Here is an 18,946-nt window from a genome sequence, read left to right as displayed (position 1 = left end):
GAAGGTAATTAGAAGCTTGTATATTTACTAAACTCTTTCAATAATTTTTGAAATCATATACCAGGGTAAAATCTGTATGCTGATAAAAAGAAAAATCATGGAAGCAGTACGGGTGGAATATTTTGTTGATAGAGGAGATTATTCTCTACAGGACAATTTAATGCATCAAACTCTCAGGAAATAGTAAAGGAGTTTAAAATGTATACTTTATATATTTAAAATATTTCATAAGTCTTGTCATTCCACAGATGCAAGAAATAGTGAACACAATAGTTTATGAGAAGTAAATTAAGCGTTGTAAAACATATGATTGACAAAAGGCCTTTCAGATATTTCAAATATAGAAAAATACATCCCGTGGCTATTTCTAGATACTCATGAAAAAGAAAAAGAAGAAAAATATATCCCAAAAATAAAGATGGGTCAAATAGTATAAAGAAATAAAGCAACTTAGTTTGGATGTTTATGAATATCAAAAACAACTATTTTGCTCTGATATTCTGTAGTTTAGCTTTAAAGAATATATTAAAAATTTTTTACAAGCATGCAAATATTTCCAGATTTCTTTTCATATTCAAAAGTAACTATCAATTTCCAGAAAATGTAAGACATTATCTTGTTTGCCATATAGCCATGATAGTGAATATGACAATGGTTACATAACTCTCTGTTACATAACTCAACTTTATACATAAATAAAGATGAGTAAAATGAGGAACAGAAACCTGATTATCAGTGACTGCCTTTCTATAAGATTGCATTTGTATGCACTGACATTACCTTTATGGGTTCCAACATTTTATTGCTATGGTCATACTGTTCCAAGGAAAACATATAAAAAAGTTATGTGCACTGTAATTCTAATCTCCTTACAGAAAATAGGGAAATAGATTGCTCACTAGAATGCATCAATATAAAATATACACTCAAAATATTATTTAAAGGCCATATCACTTCTAAAATGTGTCATCTTAATTGGAGCTCTGTATTTCAAATTCTCTCTACTAATTTTCTTTTTGTGATATTAATACAAAAACCAATGTATTAGTAGCAATCATACTTTTTGGAATTTAAACTAATATACACATATGTTAGTTTATTTAATTTTTTTTGTTTTTTTTTTTTTGAGGTGGAGTCTTGCTCTGTCACCCAGGCTGGAGTGTGGTGGTACAATCTCGGCTCACTGCAACCTCCGCCTCCCGGGTTGAAGCAATTCTTCTGCCTCGGCCCTCCCTGGTAGCTGAGACCACAGGCACACACCACCACGCCCGACTAATTTTTTTTGTATTTTTAGTAGAGACGGGGTTTCACCACATTGATCAGGCTGGTCTCGAACTCCTGACCTCATGACCCACCACCCCCCCCCGACCCCCGGCCTCCCAAAATGCTGGGATTACAGGCTTGAGCCACCGTGCCTAGCCTATTTAATTATTTAATATAGATTAGCTTAAATATATATATATAGAGAGAGAGAGAATGTGAAGATACATGCTGTTCTAAGAATGTACAAGTTGGAATATGGTATAGTGAAATCTTTGCTGCCACAGAAGAAACAAGAGCCAGATTTGGAAGGAAGAAGAAGACTCATGGGTCCCAGAGAGGAGGTTGCCACATACCACCCAAAGTTACAGTGTCAAACACCAGGGTAGTCAGGAGGCAGAAGACAGGAGTGGGGAGAGAGCTTAGGCCATGGCCTCTATTGGGGTTTCCATAGAAAGACATGGCAGGGCAGGCTAAGTATTTCAAGATTGTCTGGTTTGAATGATTTTGGTGGGCTTTAGGATATATGGTGGTCTCTAGTTGCCTGGGAAGTGTCCGCAGGATGACCAAGGCAGAGGAATATTGCCTTTAGGTTGTATGCAACAGGTAAAAGAGGTGTGTTGGGTAAGGGGTGCAGGATTGGTTAGTTTGCATCTGAAAGGCATGCTTCAGCTGGGCAGGTCCCTTGCCACCTCTAAGTATGAACTAGCCCCAGAAGAGGCAGTCTCTCCCCAGATATAATTTTTTTTTAATATATCTAAGCCTCATAAAGTATAGATAAATAAATATATATATATATCTACATTACACATGCATATGGTCACAATGTTGATAATATAAAAAAACTGTAAACAAATCAAATGCCAAATACTAAGGGACTGCTTGAAAATATTGTCTTCACTAAAATAATACAGCATATAAAAAATTAGTGATTATTCAAAGCCTAATAGTTTCTATTTCTTTCACTGCATTTATTGTTTTAGTATTTTCGTATCAGTAAAAATGATGATGTTCATCTGAAAAATATTTGCAAGAATAGCCAACAAAATCTTGAAAACAGAAGAATAATGCAAAAACTTGCTATTCCATGTGGCAAAATATAATCAAGTGCTTCTTGATTAAACGAGAAAATACTAGACAGAAATGGAATAACAGATGAGTCCAACAGAGAATCTAAGAAATACAGCAACAACAAGCAATCATAGAATCTGCAGGTAACATGCCAGTTTCTGGTGTTAAAGAATGAGCAAGCGTAGACCCAGCTCTTGTATGCTTGGAGTTTGAGTTTAGTTGGAATGAGGGAAACCAGATGTGAATCCAGTAATTTCTTACGCAAATACAAATTTGGAATTACTCCATTACTACAAGTAGAATGTAGAAGAGATACACAGTAATAAAATAAACTCTAATATGGAGATTCAACTAATCAGAGAGATATGAGAGGTCTTGTTTTAATGTGTAATGAATATCACAAGACTGTAAAAGAACAAAGAGAAAAAAGAGTAATCGAGAGAGGAAATAGTATGAACATGAAGTGTGGGTTGAGAGAAGCATACCAACATGAGAGACAGAAGACGAATGTACAGTTTGCATAAGCAATGAGAATGAATGGAGGTTGTGATGGGCCTTTGGTGGAGTGAAAGGAGACCATTGAGGTTGCATCATGTAGATCCTTTTACAGAATATTTATTTATTGGAGAAGACATGGTTATTATTTGAAATTTTTCTGCAAAGCTGAGAATGACGATAAGATTTGTACTTGGAAAAGTTCCTTATGGCTGCAGAAGGATTTACTGGAGAGTTTGGAGGTGGAGGTTTTTTTTTTTTTTGCAGTAGGATGTGTGAAATGGAACCTAAGTGCTGATGGGGGTTGAATGAGGGATGGAGGGGATTTTCATACTCAAAGTGACAACTTGGCAAATAAATGGTGCATCTAGTCATTGTCCATGGAGGAAAATGGAAGCCACTGTAGGCATTTGAAACACATCTTTAATTTAAGAATGATTAAAAACATTAAAAGCATTGATGGAGCAGTACAGAGAAAGATGGGTGCCTGGCATGCTGTGCCACTGAATGCAACCCATGTGCCACCACTCACCATGAGCAGCTGCCGCTCCTGCTGGATCTGCCCAGCCACTAGGCCAGCACCCAGGTACCAGGACAGCTGCTCATGCCGCTGAAATCAGCACCAAAGCCCCCTCGTCTGCAGCCACTCCCATTCTGAGGGTGATCAGAGCAGAAACACACATGGTTTCCTCATTCCTCCCACCTCCCGGCACCCGCAGGAACCTCCCATATCAGAGCCTATCAGGAAGTCATCTAATACTGCATCTGGGGAACACAGCTTGTTGGCTTCCCAATCTCTTGGTATGCAAAGGAGTATGGAAAAACTGGAGAGGAACTGAAAACCCTCAGAAACATAACTAATGTAGGAAACTATGTGTTTTGTTGTTGTTGTTGTTGTTGTTTGACGGAGTCTCGCTCTGTCGCCCAGGCTGGAGTGCAGTGGCACAATCTCGGCTCACTGCAAGCTCCGCCTCCCGGGTTCACGCCATTCTCCTGCCTCAACCTCCCGACTACAGGCGCCCGCCATCACGCCCGGCTAATTTTTGTATTTTTAGTAGAGATGGGGTTTCATTTTGTTAGCCAGGACGGTCTTGATCTCCTGACCTCGTGATCCACCTGCCTGGGCCTCCCAGAGTGCTGGGATTACAAGCGTGAGCCACCGCGCCCGGCCGAAACTATGTGTTTTAAGATGCTAAATTTGTAAAAAGCCAAATCTTAGCATTAAATCATGCAACAAAACTTCCAAATGGTTCAAGTCCTAAATGAAATATAATTTGATAAAAATATTTTCTTAAATGAAAGAATATATATTTGTATAATCTTGAAATGGGAAACAGGACTTCCAAACACAACTTAAAACATAAAAGTCAGAAATGAACATACAGAGTTTTGAGCCAATATTAATTTAAAAACAAAACAGAAAAGTCAGATTGGGCACACACAGAATACATATAGAATTCTACGTATAATAACTAAGCACATGAAAATATGCGAAGATGAATGAGCAGGGCATTCGGAAGTGAACAAGTACAAAGGGCATGCCAACATGACTGAAACTTGAAAATATAGTTCATAAAAATTCAATCTATTTGTGCTGGCTACTAACAATCAAATCTGTTTCCCCAGAAGGAGTGGGAAGTTAGGTAGCAGTGAATATCATCAACTTGGCACTACTTATCATAATAATAAGTATATATCTAAATAATTAACAAAACCACATGCTTATAAAATAAAATAATAATAATATTAATATAGTAAAAATAATAATGAAGAGAGGAGCAACACATGGTCTGTCTGATCCACCCTAAAGCATAGGTTTTGGAGGTATCTAACCTGAGCTTGTGTGTTTGAAGGCATCTGGGTCAATATACTATCTAGCTACCATTTCTTTCAGCTCCTGCAAAGAAACCACATGGTTGTAAAGCCATATTGTCATTCTTGTCACTGGAATTGGCACAGCTTCCTGAAAAGAAATCCTAGAGGGAACATCACATTGGAATTGACTTCCTAAGTATTGGATCCTTGTGTACCTGAAATGGTCCACCCTCTCCACTGTCCCAGAGTAATGATTAACAGAACTCCTTTTCTTAAAATTGCCTCTGTTTCAATGACTAACTGCATGTTTATTTATCTATATCATTGAAGTATTAATTATTAAACTGCATGTATTTCTTACAGAGCCATGAAGAATATTATTTTTAGGTATTTACAAATTTTTATATTATTTTATTCTGACTCCCCCCTCCACCCCCCAATGTTATCATTTCCACTTAAAACAAAATTTGATATCCCTGCACTGGGCAACAATCCATAGATGATCTGATTACCAGCTGCTGCTAAACTGCGTCTCTCCTTTTGTCACCTCTCACAGAATGCCAGATGCACTAACTCGATGGTGCCTGGAATACTCCCTGCATGCCAAACACGCTTTCCCCCTTATTTCCTCTCCCTAGAGAGTGATTTCCCTAGATGTCTGCGTGACATTCTCCCTCACTGCATTCTGGTGTCTATTGCAGTATCACCTCAAACAGCATTTCCTTATCTAAAATAACTTGGGCCATCACTCACTGTTTATTTAATAGACATTTTTATAGCACTCATATAATTTAATATCTTAGGTATACACTGTGTATGTATGCATTGTTTCTTATTTATAATAGTCTTTGAAGGCAGAATATTTACTTACTTTAATTACATAGAACATCATGTAGAACAAGACACATATAAGTCCATAATAAATACATATTAAATCAATGAATGTATACATCAGCATTAAACAAGTTAAAAGGATATTATATACCTATATATTTGGGATGATGGGAATTGGGGTGATCTTATTTTCTTTTTGTTTACTTGTATTTTAAATTTGTTTTTGCAATAATTGTTAGTCATATAAAAAAAAGGAAAGAAGGGAAGAAAAAGGTGTCATTGTAAAACCAAACTGTTAGGAATAAATACTGTTTGTAGAGTACTAGAATTTGCTAGGTGCAGTTCTAACTGCTAAATATTTAGTAACTCATGTCACCTCCACAGCCTTGTGAGGCACAAATTGTTACTATGCCCATTTCATAAATGAGGAAACGGATTCACAGAAAGTATAAGTTGTTTGTTCAGTTACTAAGGGGGTAATGAGGCTTTGACCTCAACAGGCTCTATTTAGAGCCTGCCGTTACCCCTACGCTAGGCTCACGACCCAGCAGAGTTTGAAAGACAGACCCCTGCCTCATGTGTGTCCACATTACCATAGAGTATTAAAACCAAGCCAGCTTCTGGCCAGACTTTCTCATTATGCATGGACCTGGAGCCTGGACATTCTCTAAATTTACTAGGAGAGCTTCCGCTCATTGCCGCCAGCAGCGTGTGAATACTGTAGTCTTTTTGTGGGTTCAGAACTTGTCCCAGGTGGGACTTTTGGCAGTTTCAATGGTAATTACATGAAATATGTTATCTTCAGCTGCTTTTATATTCATGGGCATGGACTGTCTTTCTAAGCGTAAAGGATAAGGCCAAAGAGAATGGTTCACAAGGGTGACAATGAGCTTGATTATTCATCTTCTGCTGATTCTGAAAATGCCTGGTTAATTTCAACTGTTTATTAAGAAAATGTCTCATTGTGGGAACTGAAAAGGAACAGCATTACTTTGTTCAGAGCAATGAGTTTGGCCTGACCCATCCTGTCACCTGACACCTTGTTCTTATCACAACCAGGCAGGATTAGAATATCTTTAGCCTCAACACCTCATAGTAATTCTTTCTTTACCACTGGTATAATTTGTGTTCCTGGGCCCCAGTCAAGTAGTTTTTAATGGATTTGCTTCTTTTAGAAATGAAAAGAAATAAACTCAGTGTACACTTCCAGATTGTCTGTGCCCCCCGACTGGCTAAAATTAATGTGGCACAGTAGCATGTCCATCTTCATTTGCAGTAAAGGGAATTGAATGTGCTTTTCTGGAGGGTTCTGCGCACAGCCAGAGGGCGAGGTTAAAGAAACGAGGTAGCATTGGTAACAAAGAGGGCTCTAATAATTTTTTTAAAGACTTGTCTAATCTCAGCTTTGAATAAAGATGTGAGACCTCTCTGTTCAGCCCTTTTAATGAACAGCATGGATCTTTAGATCATCTCAGGAGAAAGGACTCCTTTTTTCCATTATAAAGAAGTACTTTAGTAGAACGTTTGATAATGAGATGCAAAAGCCCGTCTGCAGAGTCTCTTTTATTACAGTCCTCAAATAAAAGTGGCTGCTTGCTATATTACCCTCATTTTTCCCGTTAGAAAATAAACAATCGTTTGACCGTGGATCACAAATAGATTTAGGGAAATTCTGTCTGCTGCACAAAATTGGTGCTGGAATCACACAGACTCATACACAATTGAAAAGCAACCACTTGTCTAAACATATAGATTGGGAGGAAGGTGGAAGTTGCTACTCCGAGAAAGTTTTGGAAAGAAGTAGGAAAAAAAAGACAGACACTATGGCTTACTTCCTGCTTTCCTAGCAGTTGTCTCTGAAATGGAGCTTCTGACTTTTTTTAAATATTAAAATAGCAATTACATTATATCTTCCTCTAAAGCTGTAAAGGTAGTTATCCTTGTTAAAATGGGGCTTGGAAAACAAATTCAAGACAAAACTGCCTGCCAGGTGTGCTCCAGTGATTTGTCATTCATGAAAGATTTCCAAAAGATAGAAATGCACTTTTTAACTTTGTGTGTGTGTGTGTGTTTGTGTGTGTTTAGTATTATTCATCTCATTGGCTGATCCCTTTAACACATTAAGAATATGGGACATACATGGGAGGACTTGCTTGGGCATGGGGACATCAATTTAGAGAATTAAATCAGTTTATTTCCTACCATGTAGTTCAATTCATTCTCATTAAGATGTTTCATTTCTAAAACTATGAAGTTATCATCCATCAGTGTCATTGTCATTCTCATTCTGCATGATTCACACTGACTTTGTATGTACTTAAGAGTCTGAGAAAACTAAAGGTCTTTGCTGGGGTCTTTATGCAAATGAAATATAAGCTCCCAAATTTAAGAAAACATTATCCCTAGTCTTCTGAAAATGACCTTATGAACTGGAAATTCATGAAAGCAAAAACATTACTTTTGGGCCAAGCAGAGACAAAAATTCTGCATGTCAGTCTTCTTACACCGGTCAAGGGTCTTTTTGTCAAAGGCAAATTACACTGGGTAAGTTAACCAGGCAAGAAAGACTTTATTCAAAGCTATTGCAGCAGAGGAAAGAGATCAAGCTCAACCAAGCTGAAATGACAGCCATGAGAGTAAAAGTGCTGGGGTGAGTGACGGAAGGGGTATGTCCTGAAAGACATGAGAGTGGAAGTTGGCCGATGGGATCATGCCATCTCTGTTTGCTAGTTGGTGTGTATTAGAGTTGGACTCTGACCCTCAGGCAGAGAATGGAAGGCAGGCTGTCTTCCTTGATGATTACATTTTACAAGAATGGCTAACAGGTCCTTGAAAAAGATTCCTGGATTGTAAAACTGGAAAGACGTTGGGTGAAGATGTACATTTTAAACGGGCAGAAAAAGATTGTATAATTGCAAGCTTCCTTAACACTCTAAGAAAAGAGATCAGCGGCTAGAGTTAGGAAGAAACCTGTCTAAAGTTTACTCAAGCAAGAGTAACAGCAGCAAGGCTGTCATAACAACATTACACGCAGTGTCATCCCCTCAGCTTCTGAGTTGTATTTTTTTTTAGTGTGAAGTATTTGAAATCCTTATTGACTAAATAGCAAATATTTAACAGTAACATACATATAGTTTTCATTGTATTCTTATTCACTCAAAATAGACAAATCAATTAAAATAGTGAAGAAGTAACATCTAGCTGGTAACATCTTCAGTAAAGTAAGAGATAAATAATCCCATAAGCATCAAAGTATGGTTGTCACGAAAACACAGACAGCAACAGGACCTGTGAGTGATAAGCAGATATGCAACCCCAGTTGCAAAGAAAATGAGGAGAAAGGAAACCAGATTGCAAAATGAAATTCATCCCTAAAAGAAGAACATCTCAGGCTGAGTAAAGTCTAGGTTAACAAATCTCAAATAATCAGCAAGGCTGGGAGAACGTTTTATGAGTTCCAGGCTTTCAGTAAGCAAAGTGGGACCACAAGGAGCCAAGGATTGGAATATACAACAAAATTGGAATAGTCCAAAGTTTCTTGAGTCCTCAAAAATTTCGGAAATACTCAACAAGTCCTTTTAGAAGGACAGAAATGCAACAGGAAGTAATTTTTTAAAATTGCTTGAAATGGAATCTAAATTGAGTAAGGCAGAAATGTTGAAGAATTTCAGGCAGAAGAAACGTCAGATGCCAAGCAGAAAAGAGGCACAGACGCAGCAGAACTAAAATATGCTGAAACAGAAAAGTACAATATTTCAAGGTGAAAGCTCTGCCTTAAAAGACAATGTTGGTAGAGTTCTGGAGTTACAGAGCTAGAGACCAGAAGAGTGTCTGAATCAGGCTTGATCCTGCAAATGAGATAAATAAGTACACCAAAGGCCATGGGGTTTAATATGTTACATCGTCAGAGAAGAGCAACTTTCCAATTTGTAGCTGGGAAGGCTGTGCTTGCTCACCCCACCCTTTACGCTAGGACACTTTCTAATCTCCCTCACATGCCCCTATTATTCACAGGTGAGCAGCAAGCAGGAAAATTATTAAAGCCACATAAATATATACAAGCAAACAGAAAACCAAACACCGCCTGTTCTCACTTATAAGTGGAAGCTGAACAATGAGAATACATGGACACAGGGAGGGGAACAACACACACTGGGGCCTCTGGGAGAAGAGGGATGGGGGAGGGAGAGCAACAGGACAAATAGGTAATGCATGTGGGGTTGAATGCTTAGGTGATGGGACCACCATGGCACACATTTACCTGTGTAACAAACCTGCACATCCTGCACATGCATCCCAGCACTTAAATTAAATTACATTAAAAAAAGGCAAATTTTTAAACAAATTTTTTAATAACAAATATTTATTATCAAAAAAAATAATCCAACAGGTCATACAGAGACCGAATAAAGGGTGGTTGCACAAGAGAGAAAACATGTACACCAATGTATCAAAATATGCCAAAGGAAATATCAGAAAACACAACAAAACAAAAAGCTATGAAAAATCACCATAAGACAGAATGAGAACAACTGAAAAAGAAGAAATGAAACAAAAAGTGGCTACGAGAAAATCAGTGACAAAACGGAAATAAAAAAGGCGAGAGAAAAATTTATAAAACAAGAGTATAGTGGTTGGAGTCAAGAGCAAATAGATGCAAACAAGAATAGGAAAATAGAGAAGAGAAAGAGACGAGTCAAATAATAAAACTAGACATAAAGAAGGATGTGAAAGACAGCGATGGACATACAGAAAAAGCAAAGGAGTTAAAACATACACAGATTTAAAGTCACTGGGAAGAGTCCCTAAATATAAACCAACAAATTCTTAAAACTTTAAGCCAGAAAGTTTTCTAAAACATAAAAGGATATGTACGTAGGTCTAAAGATTGAATGAAAAAATTGTTTACCTATGATGTTTAACTCAGCCTTGTCCATTTTGAGATATATCTTAGAAAAACTATTCGTTTTTAAGATAAGATATATTTGGGCATTTGAACAAAAAGCTGAGTCACTTAGAACGAAAGTCAAATTGGCATAGTTTTTTCACAGCAATGCTTTATAGCAGAAGATGACATAGTACAATTTTAAGAGATTCTAGGAAAGAATCGGGAGCCAAGAATTTTGTACACAACAAAACTGACCATCAGTTACAATGACTCAGACAAATATATATGAACATGCAAGGTTCATAGATTATGTTTTCGTTAACTCTTTTGAGAAACCTATTAAAGACCAAACCACAAACTACCAAAAAATAACTAAACACTAATAATAATAATGACAACAATTTATTGAAACGTATTTTGTGTACAGAATAAGATTTTCAAAGAAAGTAAAGGGCTGGGCACGGTGGCTCACACCTGTAATCTCAGCACTTTGGGAGACCGAGGCAGGTTAAGGAAAACAACAGTTTGAGGTCAGGAGTTCAAAACCAGCCTGCCAAAATGGTGAAACCCCATTTCTTCTAAAAATACAAAAATTAGCTGGGCGTGGTGGTGCACACCTGTAATCCCAGCTATTCAGGAGGCTGATGTGGGAGAATCACTTGAACCTGGGAGGTGGAGGTTGCAGTGTGCCAAGATTGCACCACTGCACTCCAGCCTGGGTGACAGAATAAGACTATGTATCAGAAAAAAATAAAAATAAAGAAAAAAGAAGTAAAAAGATAAAGAGGAAAGGAATAAATAAAACAAATGTCATCAAACGCCTTACCAATTGCATAAAATGAGTTATTTATTGTGAAAGTTAATAATTAATGAGAAATAATTAAGCATTTAACTTGTTTTAAATGATACAGGGGAAAATAATTTTTAAAGTGGGTGGGACAAATGAAATATGGCAAAATATTGATAGATGATGAAGCTAAGTGATGGTTCACGAGAGTTTGTTTCTCTCTCTACTTTTTGGGATACAACTAAAGGGAAACTATCGACAATAGCAAAAATACTCAGGGGAACATTTCCTACCATGCATGCCTTTTCCTGTTTTTGCAGAGGATTAATACAATCATACCATGTTTACAGAATGGCATGTGTAACATAGAAACTTTTTAATATCTCTTCTCTGAAACAACCTAACCCTGTTACCAAAAAGTTAATTCTGTTTGGTGATTAGTATTATGCACCTCTTGGTCAACTTTTCGTAGTTTCATATATTAAAACATCAACTAGAGGAATAAATGGACTAAAGTAAGGAAATAATATTATTAAATCATAAAATGTTTAAACTAGGGGGAAGGATGTAGACATATTTTAGAAAATTCCTTATTTCTGAATGAGGAGAGCAAGGCCTAGAATGAAAGAAGCATAACCAAGGTGATACCCCTACATATCTGGTAAAGAAAAGATCAGAAGAAGGCATCTTGCTATTTTACATATTACATAAACGCCATTACCTGGGAGACACTTAAGAAAATGCATTTGTACTTAATGCAAATTGTAGTGTTCCCTTCAGAGAGAATTCTGATAAGAGAGATTTGTTCTAGTTTTGTGTGTCAGGTTTGATGTTCCTAGTCTTTTATAATTACTTCCGTTCAGTGAAAGCATCAGAAAGTATTATATAAAAATAAAAAATAATTATGTTCAGTTGATAATATCTGCTATTAAATAAAATTTCATTTTAGAATATGAGTAGTTTCATATTTACAGAAAAATTGAGAAGATAGCACAGAGGATTTCCATATGTCCCGCATCCAATTTCCCCTATTATTAACATTTTCTGTTAATATGGTACATAGGGCATAATTACTGAGCTGATCATGATACACTATTATTAGTGAAAGGCCACACTACTTAGATTTTCTTAGCCTTTACCCAGTGTCCTCTTTCTATTCCAGGCTCCCATCCTAGACACCGCAGTACATTTAATTGTCACGTTTCCTTAGCCTTGACAGTTTCTCAGACTTGCCTTGTTTTTGATGACCTTGAGGGTTTGAGTAGTATGAGTCAGAATATCCATTAATTATGATTTGTCTGGTATTTTTCACATAAAGGGACTGAGGTTATGAGTTTTGGGGAGAAAGACCACAGTGGTAACGTGCCATTTTTATCACATCATATCCAGGGTACACTGTCAACATGACTTTCCACTGTTAATATTATCCTTCATCACACAACTTGGATAATATGTATCATTTTTTTCTGAAATTATTTATTATTATAATAATAATTGTTATTATTATTTTGAGACGGAGTTTCACTATTGTCGCACAGGCTGGAGTGCAATGGCGCGATCTCGGCTCACTGCAACCTCCACCTCCCAGGTTCAAGTGATTCTCCTGCCTCAGCCTCCTGAGTAGATGGGATTATAGGCGCCTGACACCATGCCAGACTAATTTTTGTATTTTTAGTAGAGATGGGGTTTCGCCATGTTGGCCAGGCTGGTCTCGAACTCCTGATGTCAGGTGATCCTCCCACTTTTGCCTCCCAAAGTGCTGGAATTATAGGTGTGAGTCACTGTGCCCAGCCCTGAAATTATTTTTAATGTGGATGGTTAGTCAGACTTTGTATACAAATACAGTCAGGTGCCACCTAACAACGTTTTGGTCAACAATAGATTGCATGTATGATGGCGGTCCCATAAGATTATAATGGACCTGAAAACTTCCTATCAATCATCTAGTGATGTCATAGCCCTCATGATGTCATAGCCCTCATAATGTCATAGTGTAACGCACTACTCACATGTTTATGTTGATTCTGGTGTAAACAAACCTATAGCACTTGCAGTCAAGTAAAAGTATAGCACATATGATTAAGTATAGTACATAATACTTGATAATAATAATAAACAACTATGTTGCTGGTTTATGTATTTACTATACTCTTCATAGATATTTAGAGTATACTACTTCTATTTTTTTTTAATTTTTTTATTATTATTGCAGGTTTGTTACATATGTATACATGTGCCATGTGGGTGTGCTGCACCCATTTGTCATTTAACATTTAGGTATATCTCCTAATGCTATCCCTCCCCCCTCCCCCCACCCCACAACAGGCCCCGGAGTGTGATGTTCCCCTTCCTGTGTCCATGTGTTCTCATTGTTCAATTCCCACCTATGAGTGAGAACATGCGGTGTTTGGTTTTTTGTCCTTGTGATAGTTTATAAAAAAGGTAACTGTCAACAACCTCAGGCAGGTCAGTCAGGAGGTACCTGAGAAGACGGTATCGATGTCGTAGGAGACATCTCCATGCATGTTATTGCTCTTGAAGACCTTCCAGAGGGACAAGATGTGGAGGTGAAACAGAATGATATTAATGATCCTGACCCTGTGTAAGCCTAGGCCAATATGTATGTTTGTGTCTTAGTTTTTAACAAAAAGTGTTAAAAGTAAATGAATAATTTTAGAAATGGAAATAAAAGTTTTGAGAATAAGAATATAAATAAATATATTTTTGTACAGCTGTACAATGTGTTTATGTTGTAAGGTAATGTTACTACCAAAGGATCAAAAAGTTTCTAAGAAGTTTTTAAGTAGAGGCCGGGAGAAATAGTTAATGCCTGTAATCCCAGAACTTTGCAAGGCTAATACAGGAGGATTAGTTGAAGCGAGGAGCTCAGGAACAGTCTAGGCAACAAAGCAAGATCCCGTCTCTATAAAAAGTTTAAAAATTGGTGAGGCACGCTGTCATGTGCCTGTAGTCCCAGGTACTCAGGAAGGAGGATCACTTGAGCCCAGAAGTTCAAGGTTGCAGTGAGCTATAATCATACCTGGGCAACAGAGTGAGATCCTGTCTCTAAAATGAGTTAATTAATTAGCCTAACAAAAAAGTTTATAAAACATAGAAGTTACAGTAAGCTAAGGACATCTTGGTTGCTTCCAAGTTTTGGCACAATTATGAGTAAAACTGCTATAAACATCTTTGTGCAGGTTCCTGTGTGGACATAAATTTTCAAGGCATTTGAGTAAATACCAAAGGGCACAGTTGCTGGACCATGTGATAAAAGCATATTTAGTTTCATAAGAAATTGCCAAGCTGCCTTCCAAAGCAGCTGTACCATCTTCCATTGCCACCAGCAATGAATGAAAATCCCCATTGCTTCACATCCTTGTGAGCATTTGGTGTTGTCAGTGTTTTGAATTTTGGCTCTTCTAACAGTGCACTATATATTGATATCTCATGGTTCAAATTTGAAGTTCCCTAGTGACATATGATACAGAACGATTTTTATATGCTTACTTGCCTTCTGTATGTCTTCGTCTATGAGTTATGTATTTGGGTTTTTTGCTTCTTTTTTAATTGAGTTGTTCATTTTCTTATTGTGGAGCTTTAAGGGTTCTTTGTATAGGTTGGATAACAATCCTTTATCCGGTGTTTTTCTCCCAGTATGTTGCTTATCTTCTCATTCTCTCGACATTGTCTTTTACAAAGCACACCTTTTTTTTTCTTTTGAATGAAGTCCAGTGTGTCATTTGTTTCTTTCATAAATCATGCCTTCAGTGTTGTATTTAAAAGTCATCGCCATACCCAGGTTCATCTAAGTTTTCTTCTCATTATCTTCTAGGAGTTTTATAATTTGCATTTTACATTAAAGTCTGTGATTCATGTTGAGTTAACTTTGAGAAGCGTGACAGGTCTATATTTAGATTCACATTTTTACACGTGATGCAAAATGTTGATGTCCAGTTGTTATCATTTGTTTGAAAGACTTTGCTCCATTGCACCATTTTTGCTCCTTTGTCAAAGACAGTTGAGTATTTATGTGGGTCTATTTATATGCTCTCTTTTCTGTTCTTTTGATCTATACGTTTTTTTCTTTCTCCAGTGACACACTGTCTTCATTACTGTAGCTTTATAGTTAGTCTTGAATTTTGGTGGTGTCAGTCCTCCAGCTTCTTTCTTCTCCTTTGATATTGAGTTGACTATTTTGGGTCTTTTCTCTGTCCACATAAATTTAAGAATCAGTTTGCAAATATCCGTAAAATAACTTACTAGGATTTTGATTGGGATGGCATTGAATCCAAGTTGAGAAGAACTGACATCTTGACTATATTGGGTCTTCTCACCATAAACATAAACTATGTCTTCATTTATTTAGTTCTTCTTTTATGTCTTTTATCAAAATTTTGTAGATTTCCTCATATAAATTGTGCGGGGTATTTTTTTGCTAGATTGATGCCTATTTTATTTTTGGACGGTAGTACAAAGGGTAATATGTTTTTGATTTCTAATTCCACTTGTTTATTGCTGGTATTTAGGAAATAAACTTTTCCAGATTAAACTTGTATCTTACAAACTTACTCTAATCGCTTATTAGTTACAGGATTTTTTTTTTCTGGCAATTTTTTTCCAAATTTCTACATAGACAATCATCATCTAGGAACAAAGGGTTTTATTTCTCCATTCCTATACTATATTATTTTTACTTATTTTGCAACTTATTGCAATAGCTAGGACTTCCAGTATGATGTTGAAAAACAGTGTTGAGAAGAAACACCTTTGTCCTGTCTGAGCTTAGCAGGAAAGCTTCAAGTTTTTCACCATTAAGTATGATGTGATCTACAGGTTTTTTGTAGATGTTCTTTATAAAATATGTAAAATTCCCCTCTGTTTTCAATTTGCTGAGAATTTTTATCATGAATGGGTATTGGAATATTTTCAAATGCTTTCTCTGTATCTATTGATATCATGTGATTTTTCTTCTGTAGCTTGTTGATGTGATGGATTACATTAATTGATTTCTGAATGTTGAACCAGGGATAAATCCCATTTAATAATGGTAATAATTCTTTTTATATACTGTTGGATTTAATTTGCTAATATTTTGTGAGGGTTTTTGCATTTGTCTATTTTGTTCACAAGCAATATGTGTCTATAGGTTTCTTTTCTTGCAATGCCTTTATCTGGTCTTGTTAGGGTAATACTCGTACCATAAAATAAGTTGGGCATATTCCTTCTGCTTCTATTTTTTGGTAGAGATTGTAGAAAATAGGTATCATTTCTTCCTTAAACATTTGGTAAAGTTTACCAGTGGCCCATCTGGGGCTGGTGCTTTCTGTTTTAAAGGATATTAATTATTAATTTGATTTCTTTAATAGGCAGACTCACAGTGTTTACCTGGTCTTGTGTGAAAACCAGTAAATCGTATCCTTCAAAACATTGTCCCATTTCACCTAAGTTACTAAATTTGTGGGCATAAAGTTGTTCGTAATATTTTTTAGTATCTTTTTAACGTCCATGGGATCTGTAGCAATCTTCCTCTTTTATTCTGACATGAGTAATTTGGGTCTTCTTTTTTTCTAAGTCTAAAAAAGCCTTCTCTGAGCAAGGCTTTTATTGCCTCATAAACCTGACAGGAGGTTTATTAATTTTCTTGATCTTTTCAAATAACCAGATTTTAATTTTGTTGATTTATAAAAAATTGATTTTCTTGTTTTTTTATTTTATTGATTTCTGCTCTAATTTGTATTATTTTTCTTCAGCTTACTTTGCATTTTGCTTGGTCTTCTTTTTCTGGTTTCCTAAGGTGAAAACTTAGATTATTGATTTTAGATCTTTATTTTTTTCTAATATTTGATTTCAAAGCTTAGAGTTTTTTTTCTTTAAGCAATGCTTTTACTGTATCTCACAACTTTTGATAAGTTGTATTTTCATTTAGCTCTGAATATTTTAATTTTCTTCAGATTTCTTCTTTGATGTATGGGCTACTGAGAAGTCTTTGATTAATCCCCAAGTAAGTTGAGATTTTCTAGTTATCTTTTTGTTATTCATTTCTAGTTTAATTTCACTCTGGTCTGTGAGGAGACATTGTATGATTTTTATTTTTAAAAAATTTTAAGGTGTGTTTTCAGGAGCAGAACATGGTCTATCTTGGTGAAAGTTCCATATAAAATTAATAAAAACGTGTATTCTTCTGTTCTTGGATAAAGTAACCTATATGTTTGTTATATCCAGTTGATTAATGGTATATTGAGTTCATCTATATCCTTACTAGTTATCTGCTGACTAAATCTGTCTGTTTCTGATTAAGGGGTGATAAAATACCCAACTAAATCAGTGGATTCATTTATTTTTCCTTGCAGTTCCATCAGTTTTTGCCCCACACATTTTGACAATCTGTTGTTAGATGAATACACATTAAAGAATGTTATATCTTCTTGGAGTATTAAGTTTCTTTTTTGAGAAGGATTCTCACTCTGTCTCCCAAGCTGGAGTCCAGTGGCATGATCTCGGCTCATTGCACCCTCTGCCTCCTGGGTTCACGCTACTCTCCTGCCTCGGCCTCCCAAATAGCTGGGACTACAGGTGCATGCCACCACACCTGGCTAATTTTTGTATTTTTAATAGAGATAGGGTTTCACCATGTTGGCCAGGCTAGTCTCTAACTCCTGACCTCAAGTGATCCACCCACCTCAGCCTCCCAAAGTGCTGGGACTACAAGCGTGAGCCGCTGTGCCTGGCCTTGGAGTATTACTTTATAAAAGCAAAATAAAATCTCGAGACCCCAAACTCCCTATGCCAAGGGCAACGTTAAGCTTGGAAGCTGAGTCATGCAAAACTGCTCCCCATTTTGTTATTAAACAGATAGCTGTAAAGATAGAAGGCCACATACTTCCCCAGGGGCCTTCCTCACAATTTGCTCACAAGAAAATTCCCTGTGGGTCCCACTATCTTTATTCCAATATCAGACCCTATGTCTGATATTTGTCCAGACAGAGATCTGTTGAATTTCACACTGTCAATGTAAAGCAACAGCTTATTTTTTATAGGTATGAGACAAAGACAGAAACAGAAGTCAAACCTCCCCTCACCTGAGACAAATGTATATTTGCGTCCTCTACTCTGTGTTTATTTTATCTTATGTAAAAATGAAGATTCATTGAGCAAAAGACAAATGCTTCCAACCCCTCCTTTCACTGATCCGAGCTGCAAAAGAATGCAAAACCTTGCCGCTTTTATCTACCTTCCCACTGCCCACTTTTCCCCTTTAAATACTGATGGCCTCAAAGTCTTCTTTGGAAAAAGTACAGGCCACAGGTCCTGCTGTGGCTGGTGTCTCTTTTTCTCGGGCACATCACAACCCTGAGAAAATAAACCTCTCAATGGAGACCTGTCTCAGATACCTTTTGGTTTACAAGCCCCTTCATTGTTTTTTATTTATTTATTTATTTTTTTCGGGGGGACGGAGTCTCGCTCTGTCGCCCAGGCTGGAGTGCAGTGGCGGGATCGAGGCTCACTGCAACCTCCGCCTCCCGGGTTCACACCATTCTCCTGCTTCAGCCTGCCGAGTAGCTGGGACTGCAGGCGCCCGCCACCACGCCAGGCTAATTTTTTGTTTTAGTAGAGACGGGGTTTCACCGTGTTATCCAGGATGGTCTTGATATCCTGACCTCGTGATCCGCCCGCCTCGGCCTCCCAAAGTGTTGGGATTACAGGCGTGAGCCACCGCGCCCGGCCACAAGCCCCTTCATCATTATGCAATGCCCCTTTGATCTGTTATATTTTTCTTTGGTCTGAGGTCTGCA

The sequence above is a fragment of the Homo sapiens genome, chromosome 18, assembly GCF_000001405.40.
Source record: "Homo sapiens chromosome 18, GRCh38.p14 Primary Assembly".
Taxonomy (NCBI): Eukaryota; Metazoa; Chordata; class Mammalia; order Primates; family Hominidae; genus Homo; species Homo sapiens.
The sequence above is the reverse complement of the archived record's forward strand: the minus strand, read 5'-3'. Positions refer to the sequence as shown.